Source organism: Homo sapiens, chromosome 4 (genome assembly GCF_000001405.40).
Source record: "Homo sapiens chromosome 4, GRCh38.p14 Primary Assembly".
In the NCBI taxonomy this organism is placed as follows: domain Eukaryota; kingdom Metazoa; phylum Chordata; class Mammalia; order Primates; family Hominidae; genus Homo; species Homo sapiens.
Genome location: NC_000004.12, coordinates 89,961,505 through 89,973,496, shown reverse-complemented (window position 1 = coordinate 89,973,496; position 11,992 = coordinate 89,961,505).

Here is an 11,992-nt window from a genome sequence, read left to right as displayed (position 1 = left end):
CATTGTCACATTTAATCTACATAAGAATCTTAATAAGTAGGAATCATTTTATGTCCATGTTACAGGTGAAGAAAATGGGGCACAAACAAGTTGAGGTCAAGAGGTTGATGACTGTAGTTTAAACTCAATCAATCTGTGTCCATGATTCCCCACCCTTACTAACCAGCCTCTTGCATCAAATAGGTATGACCTTTGGGTTTGACCAACTGACAACTGATTTTAGGCCTTGTTTACAAGGGAAAGCCTGATTATCTTTGTACCTAAATCTGTGATTATTGTCTGTAAAAAAGTTTGATTTAAGGTAAATAAATAGTGGAATCAGAACTTTTAAAGACATGCAAACAATCAAACTATGGTTTACAGATGATTCTTACAGACTTGTCTTTGGAGTTGATTTAGTACTATAGACTTCATTTAATTGTTACAGACAATGATCACAGGGAACTGGATTTATATGAGAGATTATTTTTATAAAAATTAAATTTTACCCTTACCATTTCCACACACCTTTATGTATAAATTATGTGATTCTTCATAGCATATTTCTGTTTGAAGTGATTTTAGCTAACATATTTGTGCACACCTAAAACATATGTCCTTATGAATACTTCACTCATATTAAGTCAAGCATTCACTAAAACCATATTAAATAAATTATCTACTATATGTTGACCATTGAGATGGACCTTATAGATATTATGAACAAGAGAAACCAATGTTAGGTCCCTGTGAAATAGCTCTAATAAATGTAGCTAGTGAGTATTGCAGGTTTCTGATTATGGGAGTGAATTTTTTTTTTTTCTGTAGTAGCTATGCCTGAATGTAAATACTAAATGCCAGTGTTTCTTTGTAATGAAAAGCAATATATAGGGGTTCAAAAATCTTTTCTTTTTAAAATTTCTGTCATTTGGAAAATAGGTTTGATTATTTAGAGAGGTCTATAAATTACCCTTTATTCAAAATGTCTATAATTTTAATCATGTTATTTTAATTGCAATAGGTTGTAAATTTGCAATAAAATAACAAGAAGGGAGGCTGTAACAGATGTTCTGCCAGCACATGTGATTTCATCTGAGACAATCTAGCATTCATCATGCTTAATCTTCATCAATTGAAATGTACTACTGCTTTTCAATAATGTCAGCTCTGTACACTCAAAAGGCTTCTGATATTTAGAAAAACAAATTTGACTCAAACAGTTTTTTGTGTGTAGTTAAACGATGTATCTCTTTATCCTGATTGTAATTTTATTTAGTTGTGTATTATTTCATATTACATGATTTAAAAAGGTAGCTATCTCTTTCTATAGATGCAGTCTTTTTATTTTTTGGATCATCCCATGTTTCTTTGCACATGATGAAAAATATTTTACCCAAATAGGCAAAATATCATCTATGCTTAAACTGGATGCAATTTGTAAATAATGGTGTTAATTTTTTTCTTTGGAGTATACTACACAGATGGCAGCGTAATTAATTTAGATCGCTGTAAAATCCTATGGAACAGCACATTAGCAGTAATACTCTCATAAAGGAAATACAATTTAGGCCTGCTTCAGTACTATATTCAATGGAAATTAATTTCATTAATAATATAGTGCTTCCTAGAGTGTGTTTTGTATTATTTTAGGATCTTAGAACATATGAGGTAAAAATAAAATAAAATGAGAAAACAAAACAACATTCTTTAAATGATGGTTTATGAAAATGTATGTCAGAAAGAGAGTAAGAAGGAGAAAAAAGAATAAGGAGGAGAGCAAAAGAGAGACTGAAAGTGAAAGAAGAGAAATACAGTAATAAGTATGGAAAAAACTGATGGAAAGAATAGGAAGAAAAGGAGGAAGAGGAAAAGATGGAGGAGAAGGAGGAGAGGAAAAGGAGAAGGAAGAGGAAGAGGAGGAGGGAAGAGGGAAGAGATGGGGAAAGAAAAAGAATGGAGAAGCAAAAGGAGAACCAGGATCCTGTGAGTAAAAAGACCAAAGCTTTTCCTTTCACTTGCAAAGCCAGACATTCACCTGCTGACATTCAGAGGATCATGTAGAGAATCAAGCTGTTGGGTAATGAGAAGGTGATCTCCTGCCTTAGGGCTTGCTTTCATGGAAAAGAAGTGGACGTGGGGAAAAATGAATGAACGTTCCTGCCAATGAGATGTGGGGAGAGACCATTAGGTCTTGGCTAGTTCTCAGGTACTGCAAATGCCATTTGTCTAGGCCTAGAACTGTCCTTGTTGCTGGGTAAATGATAGCAGTTTGAGAGGCTCCCAAGGAAATGTGGGGGGTTGCCCAGAAACATAAGGCTGGTGAATCTAGAGGTCAAAGTAAGATTTCAAGTTGGCAAAAAAGGAACAAAATTGCACTTATTTTGTTGCCTTTTCTATCCAAAGGGTTGGAGAACAAAACAGAGCAACTTCTAGAATATCTTTTCATTCATTCTAAAAAATTATCATGATAACCTTGCCTGGATGACATTATAAAACATTTTAGCAAGGAAAAAAATCAACAGAATGTGCCTTTGATATCTTTTCTGACATTATGAAGAACCTCCTCTCCCAAACTCCTCTCCCACTGTTGATTATGAGATTCTCACCTTTTCCAAAATAAATGCAGAATGAAATCAAGAAAGTTTTATTTTAAGTGGAAATTTGTTTTATCTTTAAGAGCTTTTTGGGAGAGACAGTAGTACATATTATTACAGATTATTTTCTGATCAATATTTATAAGAACGTATTTTGTACTAAGGGCCAACTGAATTCACTGAAGACTCATTTTAAAGCCATTACTCTAAGAAATATTTTAAAATTCATATGCCATTTCCCCCACTTTTAGAGCTCAGTAAACAGAAAAGTTTAAATGCATTTGCTAATTTCCTAGTTTAATTCAGTAGCAATGCCAGTGTTGAAATTTAGCAATTCCATTATGAGAGCTTAAGTTCCATTTATTAAAACTGTACCCAATTTACCCATTTATGCCTTTTGTTTTAATGGGAAGAGCTGCCTTATACGACTTCAGGGAGTATGCTGAACAAATGCACTAATGGTCACATTAAACCAGGAAATAATCTTAGGATACTGTCAGGCCTCTGAGCCCAAGCTAAGCTATCATATCCCCTGTGACCTGCACGTACACATCCAGATCGCTGGTTCCTGCCTTAACTGATGACATTGTCTTGTGAAATTTCTTCTCCTGGCTCATCCTGGCTCAAAAGCTCCCCCACTGAGTACCTTGTGACCCCCACTCCTGCCTGCCAGAGAACAACCCCCCTTTTTCCTTTACCTACCCAAATCCTATAAAACGGCCCCACCCCTATCTCCCTTCGCTGACTCTCTTTTCAGACTCAGCCCACCTGCACCCAGGTGAAATAAACAGCCATGTTGCTCACACAAAGCCTGTTTGGTGGTCTCTTCACACGGACGCGCATGAAATTTGGTGCCATGACTCCTATCGGGGGACCTCCCTTGGGAGATCAATCCCCTGTCCTTCTGCTCTTTGCTCCTTGAGAAAGATCCACCTACGACCTCAGGTCCTCAGACCGACCAGCCCAAGAAACATCTCACCAATTTCAAATCCGGTAAGCCGCCTCTTTTTACTCTCTTCTCCAACCTCCCTCACTATCACTCAACCTCTTTCTCCTTTCAATCTTGGCGCCACACTTTAATCTCTCCCTTCTTTTAATTTCAATTCCTTTCATTTTCTTCTAGAGACAAAGGAGACACGTTTTATCCGTGGACCCAAAACTCCGGCGCCAGTCACGGACTGGGAAGGCAGCCTTCCCTTGGTGTTTAATCATTCCAGGGACACCTCTCTGATTATTCACCCAGGCTTCAGAGGTGTCAGACCACGCAGGGACGCCTGCCTTGGTCCTTCACCCTTAGCGGCAAGTCCCACTTTTCTGGGGAAGGGGCCAGTACCCCAACCCCTTCTCTCCGTGTCTCTACCCCTTCTCCACCTTTCTGGGGGGCAAGAAACCCCCAACCTCTTCTCCTTCACCCTGAGTGGCAAGTCCCACTTTTCTAGAGGAGGGGCAAGTACCCCAACCTCATATCTCTGTGCCCATCCCTTATTTCCGTGCCCTGACCTCTTAAATCTCTGCACCCCGATCCCTTATTTCCACACCCCGACCTCGTATCTCTGTGCCCTGACCCCTTCTCTGCTTTTCTGGAGGGCAAGAACCCCCCATCCCCTCTCCGTGTCTCTACTCTTTTCTCTGGGCTTGCCTCCTTCACTATGGGCAAGCTTCCACCTTCCATTCCTCCTTCTTCTCCCTTAGCCTGTGTCCTTAAGAACTTAAAACCTCTTCAACTCTCACCTGACCTAAAATCTAAGCATCTTATTTTCTTCTGCAATGATGCTTGACCCCAATACAAACTGGACAGTAGTTCCAAATAGCCGGAAAACGGCACTTTCAATTTCTCCATCCCACAAGATCTAAATAATTCTTGTCGTAAAATGGGCAAATGGTCTGAGGTGCCTGACATCCAGGCATTCTTTTACACATCGGTCCCTTCCTAGTCTCTGTGCCCAATGCAACTCGTCCCAAATCTTCCTTCTTTCCCTTCCGCCTGTCCCCTCAGTCCCAACCCCAAGAGTCACTGAGTCTTTCTAATCTTCCTTTTCTACAGACCCATCTGACCTCTCCCCTCCTCCCCAGGCTGCTCCTCGCCAGACCGAGCTAGGTCCCAATTCTTCCTCAGCCTCCGCTCCTCCACCCTATAATCCTTTTATCGCCTCCCCTCCTCACACCTGGTCCGGCTTACAGTTTCCTTCCATGACTAGCCCTCCCCCTCCTGCCCAGCAATTTACTCTTAAAAAGGTGGCTGGAGCTAAAGGCATAGTCAAGGTTAATGCTCCTTTTTCCTTATCCCAAATCAGATAGCGTTTAGGTTCTTTTTCATCAAATATAAAAATCCAGCCCAGTTCATGACTTGTTTGGCAGCAACCCTGAGACACTTTACAGCCCTAGACCCTAAAAGGTCAAAAGGCCGTCTTATTCTCAAAATACATTTTATTACCCAATCTGCTCCCAACATTAAATAAAACTCCAAAAATTAAATTCTGGCCCTCAAACCCCACAACAGGATTTAATTAACCTCACCTTCAAGGTGTACAATAATAGAAAAAAGTTGCAGTTCCTTGCCTCCACTGTGAGACAAACCCCAGCCACATCTCCAGCACACAAGAACTTCCAAACGCCTGAACTGCAGCAGCCAGGTGTTCCTCCAGAACCTCCTCCCCGAGGAGCTTGCTACAAGTTCCAGAAATCTGGCCACCGGGCCAAGGAATGCCTGCAGCCCAGGATTCCTCCTAAGCCACATCCCATCTGTGTGGGACCCCACTGGAAATCGGACTGTCCAACTCACCTGGCAGCCACTCCCAGAGCCCCTGGAACTCTGGCCCAAGGCTCTCTGACTCCTTCCCAGATCTTCTTGGCTTAGCAGCTGAAGACTGACGCTGCCCGATCACCTCAGAAGCCCCCTAGACCATCACGGACACCGAGCTTCAGGTAACTCTCACAGTGGAAGGTAAGTCGGTCCCCTTCTTAATCAATACGGAGGCTACCCACTCCACATTACCTTATTTTCAAGGGTCTGTTTCCCTCACCTCCATAACTGTTGTGGGTATTGACAGCCAGGCTTCTACACCTCTTAAAACTCCCCAACTCTGGTGCCAACTTAGACAATACTCTTTTAAGCACTCCTTTTAGTTATCCCCACCTGCCCAGTTCCCTTATTAGGCCGAGACACTTTAACTAAATTATCTGCTTCCCTGACTATTCCTGGATTACAACTACATCTCATTGCTGCCCTTCTTCCCAATCCAAAGCCTCCTTTGCGTCCTCCTCTTGTATCCCCCCACCTTAACCCACAAGTATAAGATACCTCTACTCCCTCCTTGGTGACTGATCATGCACCCCTTACCATCTCATTAAAACCTAATCACCCTTACCCGGATCAATGCCAATATCCTATCCCACAGCATGCTTTGAAAGGATTAAAGCCTGTTATCACTCGCCTGCTACAGCATGGCCTTTCAAAGCCTATAAACTCTCCTTACCATTCCCCCATTTTACCTGTCCTAAAACCAGACAAGCCTTACAAGTTAGTTCAGGATCTATGCCTTATCAACCAAATTGTTTTGCCTATCCACCCCATGGTGCCAAACCCATATACTCTCCTATCCTCAATACCTCCCTCCACAATCCATTATTCTGTTCTGGATCTCAAACGCGCTTTCTTTACTATTCCTTTGCACCCGTCATCCCAGCCTCTCTTCGCTTTCACTTGGACTGACCCTGACACCCATTAGGCTCAGCAAATTACCTGGGCTGTACTGCCACAAGGCTTCACAGACAGCCCCCATTACTTCAGTCAAGCCCAAATTTCATCCTCATCTGTTACCTATCTCGGCATAATTCTCATAAAAACACACGTGCTTTCCCTGCTGATCGTGTCCGATTAATCTCCCAAACCTCAATCCCTTACAAAACAACAACTCCTTTCCTTCCTAGGCATGGACAACAACTCCTTTCCTTCCTAGGCATGGTTAGTGCAGTCAGATTTCTTACACAAGAGCCAGGACAGGACCGCACCTTGTAGCCTTTCTGTCCAAACAACTTGACCTTACTGTTTTAGCCTAGCCATCATGTCTCCGTGCAGTGGCTGCTGCCACCCTAATACTTTTAGAGGCCCTCAAAATCACAAACTCTGCTCAACTTAGTCTCTTACATTTCTCATAACTTCCAAAATCTATTTTCTTCCTCATACCTGACGCATACACTTTCTGCTCTCCGGCTCCTTCAGCTGTACTCACTCTTTGTTAAGTCCCACAATTACCATTGTTCCTGGCCCGGACTTCAATCTGGCCTCCCACATTATTCCTGATACCACACCTGACCCCCATGACTGTATCTTTCTGATCCACCTGACATTCACCCCATTTCCGCATATTTCCTTCTTTCCTATTCCTCACCCTGATCACGCTTGATTTATTGATGGCAGTTCTACCAGGCCTAATCACCACACACCAGCAAAGGCAGGCTATGCTATATAGTACAAGCCACTAACCCGCATCTTAGAACCTCTCATTTCCTTTCCATCATGGAAATCTATCCTCAGGGAGATCACTTCTCAGTGTTTCATCTGCTATTCTACTACTCCTCAGGGATTATTCAGGCCCCCTCCCTTCCCTACACATCAAGCTCAAGGATTTGCCCCCACCCAGGACTGGCAAATTAGCTTTACTCAACATGCCCCGAGTCAGATAACTAAAATACCTCTTAGTCTAGGTAGACACTTTCACTGGATAGGTACAGGCCTTTCCTACAGGGTCTGAGAAGGCTGCCACAGTCATTTCTTCCCTTCTGTCAACATAATTCCTCAGTTTAGCCTTCCCACCTCTATACAGTCTGATAAAAGACCAGCCTTTATTAGTCAAATCAGCCAAGCAGTTTTTCAGGCTCTTAGTATTCAGTGAAACCTTTATATCCCTTAAGGTCCTCCGTCTTCAGGAAGAGTAGAATGGACTAAAGGTCTTTTAAAAACACACCTCACTAAGCTCAGCCACCAATTTAAAAAGGACTGGACAATACTTTTATGACTTTCTCTTCTCAGAAGTCAGACCTGTCCTCAGAATGCTACAAGTTACAGCCCATTTGAGCTCCTGTATAGACGCTCCGTTTTATTAGGCCCCAGTCTCATTCCAGACACCAGACCAACTTAGAATGTGCCCCCAAAAACTTGTCATCCCTACTATCTTCTGTCTAGTCATACTCCTATTCAGCGTTCTCAACTACTCATACATGCCCTGCTCTTGTTTACACTGCCGGTTTACACTGTTTCTCCAAGCCATCACAGCTGATATCTCCTGGTGCTATCCCCAAACTGCCACTCTTAACTCTTGACGTAAATAAATAATCTTTGTTGGCAGGACTATGCCGAATCTCCTTAGGCACTCTCTAATCAGATGTCCTGAGTCTTCCCAATTCTTAGACCTTTTATACCTGTTTTTCTCCTTCTCTTATTCCATTTAGTTTTTCAATTCATACAAAACTGTATCCATGCCATCACCAATAATTCTAAATTACAAATGTTCCTTCTAACAACCCCACAAATATCACTCCTTACCACAAAATCTTCCTTCAGCTTAATCTCTCCCACTCTAGGTTCCCACACCGCCCCTAATCCCGCTCGAAGCAGCCCTGAGAAACATCGCCCATTATCTCTCCATACCATCCCCCAAAATTTTCGCTGTCCCAACACTTTACCACTATTTCATTTTATTTTTCTTATTAATATAAGAAGACAGGAATGTCAGGCCTCTGAGCCCAAGCTAAGCTATCATATACCCTGTGACCTGCACGTACACATCCAGATCGCTTGTTCCTGCCTTAACTGATGACATTCCGCCACAGAAGAAGTGAAAATGGCCTGTTCCTGCCTTAACTGGTGACATTGTCTTGTGAAATTCCTTCTCCTGGCTCATCCTGGCTCAAAAGCTCCCCTACTGAGTACCTTGTGACCCCCACTCCTGCCTGCCAGAGAACAACCCCCCTTTTTCCTTTACCTACCCAAATCCTATAAAACGGCCCCACCCCTCTCTCCCTTCGCTGACTCTCTTTTTGGACTCAGCCCCCCTGCACCCAGGTGAAATAAACAGCCATGTTGCTCACACAAAGCCTGTTTGGTGGTCTCTTCACACGGACGCGCATGAAAGATACCACTGAAAGAAAATTTATGAAAATGGTAAGTTTTTTTTCTCTCGTTAGGCAAATTACTAGTTTCAAGAGTTAAGAGGGAAATAAATGAGAACACATACTCACGAATAATTTTTTAAATGGAGGCATAATCCCAGTCCTTTTTCTTCCCATTTTGTGACACTAGTATTGAAACCGCCTTTGCAAAATTATGACTCAAACAGTGAAACAGATCCAATTTAACTGACTCCATCTTTCTTCTAACCTCCAAGCTGTCCTTGTTCATTCCTGACCGTAGGCTGAACTAACTTTGGGAGAAACTTAGTTTGTAGTTTATAGTTTAAACAAAGACAGCCTTTCCCAAAGCAGACTTCCTTCTTGCATGGGGACTAGACTAACATTAGCCACGGGATTAGAAATTATGGTTTAGGAGTCATGTAGCTCCTAAGATCAGTGCTTGAGATATGTTGCAGACCCTGCACTTGATGGATCAGCTAGCCCCACCCAGATCAATAAACTGGCTTGTCTGATCTTGTGGCCCCCACCCAGGAACCGACTCAGCACCAGAAGACAGCTTCCACTCCCTGTGATTTCAGCCCTGACCAATCAGCATTCCTGACTCACTGGCTCCCCACCAACCTACCAAGTTATTGTTAAAAGCTCTGCTCCTGGCCAGGCGCAGTGGCTCACACCTGTAATCCCAGCACTTTGGGAGGGCAAGGCGAGTAGATCATAAGGTCAAGAGATCGAGACCATCCTTCCTGGCCAACATGGTGAAACCGTCTCTACTAAAAATACAAAAATTAGCTGGGTGTGGTGGCAGCGCCTGTAGTTCCAGCTACTCAGGAGGCTGAGGCAGGAGAATTGCTTGAACCCAGGAGGCGGAGGTTGCAGTGAGCCGAGATTGTGCCACTGCATTCCAGCCTGGCAACAGAGAGAGATTCCGTCTCAAAACAAAAACAAAACAAAAACTCTGCTCCCTGAATGCTCAGGGAGACTGATTTGAGTAATAATAAACTCCGGTCTCCTGCACAGCTGGCTCTGTGTGAATTACTCTTTCTCTACTGCAATTCCCCTGTCTTGATGAATTGGCTCTGTCTAGGCAGTGGGCAAGGTGAACCCCTTGGGCAGCTACAGTATTAAGTTACTCACAGAATGACAATTTTTTTTTCTTCGATTTTAAGTTCAGGGATATATGTGCAGGATGTGCAGGTTTGTTACATAGGTAAACGTGTGCTATGGTGGTTTGCTGCACAGATCATCCCATCACCTAGGTATTAAGCCCAGCACCCATTAGCTATTCTTCCTGATGCTCTCCTGCCCACCTCCCCCACCTCTAATGACAGGCTGCAGTGTTTGTTATTCCCGTCTATGTGTCCATGTGTTCTCACTGTTCAACTCCCACTTGTAAGTAAGAACATGCAGGGTTTGGTTTGCTGTTTCCTTGTCAGTTTGTTGAGGATGATGGCCTCCAGCTCCATCCATGTCCCTCCAAAGGACATGATCTTGTTCCTTTTTATGGCTGCATAGTATTCCATGGTGTTTATGTACCACATTTTCTTTATCCAGTCTCTCATTGATGGCCATTTTGAGTTGATTCCATGTCATTGCTACTGTGAATAATAGTGCTGCAATGAGCATACATTTGCATGTATCTTTATAATAGAATGATTTATATTCATTTGGGCATATACCCAGTAATGGGATTGCTGGGTCAAATGGTATTTCTGCCTCTAGGTCTTTGAGGAGTCACCACACTGTCTTCCACAATACCTGAACTAATTTACACGCCCACCAACAGTGTAAAAGTGTTCCATTTTCTCTGCAACCTCGCCAGCATCTGTTGCAGAAAGGCAATTTCACAAAGTCCAAAGGATGGACTTAAGATGTGTTCAAAAGTATGTCTCAAAATGTGTTGAAGATAAATTTGCAAGTTTTCAAAATGGCAACTGGAGTGAGTAGAGACAGTAATGGTTTCCTATTATAGATTTCCTCTGCTAGTTTTTCACATCATCTAGGTTAGAGGGAGGTTGAAGAAATGGTAACAGGATCTTACATCTCTTTGGCTTTCACTCTGCCACACTATCTCACACTGTGTCTGTCCACCCTCTATCTCTTAACACGGACCAGTTTACCAGTTTGGATATACAGTTGACCCTTGAACAACATAGGTTTGTATTGTGTGGGTCCAATCATACACAGGTTTTCTTTTCAACATTTTTTAAAATTAAAATAGAGACAAGGTTTCACCATGTTGACCAGGCTGATCTCAAACTCCTGTGCTCAAGCAATCCAGCCCCCTTGACCTTCTAAATTGCAGGTATTACAGGCGTGAGCAACCGGGCCTGGCCTATACACAGGTTTTCTTAAGCCTCTCTCACCCCCCACCCTGGAGAGAGCAAGACCAACCCTTTCTCTTCCTTTTCCTCCTCAGCTTACTGGACATAAAGATGAGGATGAAGACCTTTGTGATGATCCACTTTCACTTAATGAATAATACATATATTTCCTCTTATGAATTTCTTAATAACCTTTTCTCTAGCTTACTTTATTGTAAAAATGCAGTATATAATACATATAACATATAAAATATGAGCTAATTGACTAGTTGATGTTATCAATAAGGCTTCTGTCAATAGTAGACTATTCGTAGTTAAGTTTTTGGGGAGTTAAAATTTTCATGCAGATTTTTGATGCACAGGGGGTCAATTGTAGTTTTTTCCTCCTTCTCATTCCCCTCCTTTCTCTCATTGTCATCCTCCTTCTCTTCCTCTTTCTCCCACTTTCCTTCCTCTTCCTCCTCCTTATTTCTGTTCTGTTCTTTTGTCCCCTACCTCTAATTCTTGTTCTTTTCTTGCCTTTGTTATTAACTTCTGCCAGGTAGCCACCAGAAGATGAAAAACAATAGAGAAATAAAACATCCAGGAGGTTTGTTCCTGAAGTTTGTATTGCTTTATATTTTATAATTATAGAAAAAATGATATTATGCCTCTAAAAGTGTAGTGATATAAGGAAGATTAGTCACTCTGGGTAATGTTCACATCAAAAAGAAAATGACGAAAGCAATTCTGCATTATTATTCACTGTTGAATGTGGTCACTCCCCCAAGGCTGGAACCATTTGGCCCTATTGAAAATATTTTTCTCACAGGGTCATTTGCCAAGTCAATTTCTCCATTGGTGTGGTTAACCTAAAACAATCATGAGATCTATAAATTTAGAAAGGGAGACTTTATTTCTTGTAAAAGGTTACAGCCTTGCGAGGAGCCCATCTGGCAGGCTGGGAAGTGTGCCTCCAGGTGAAGC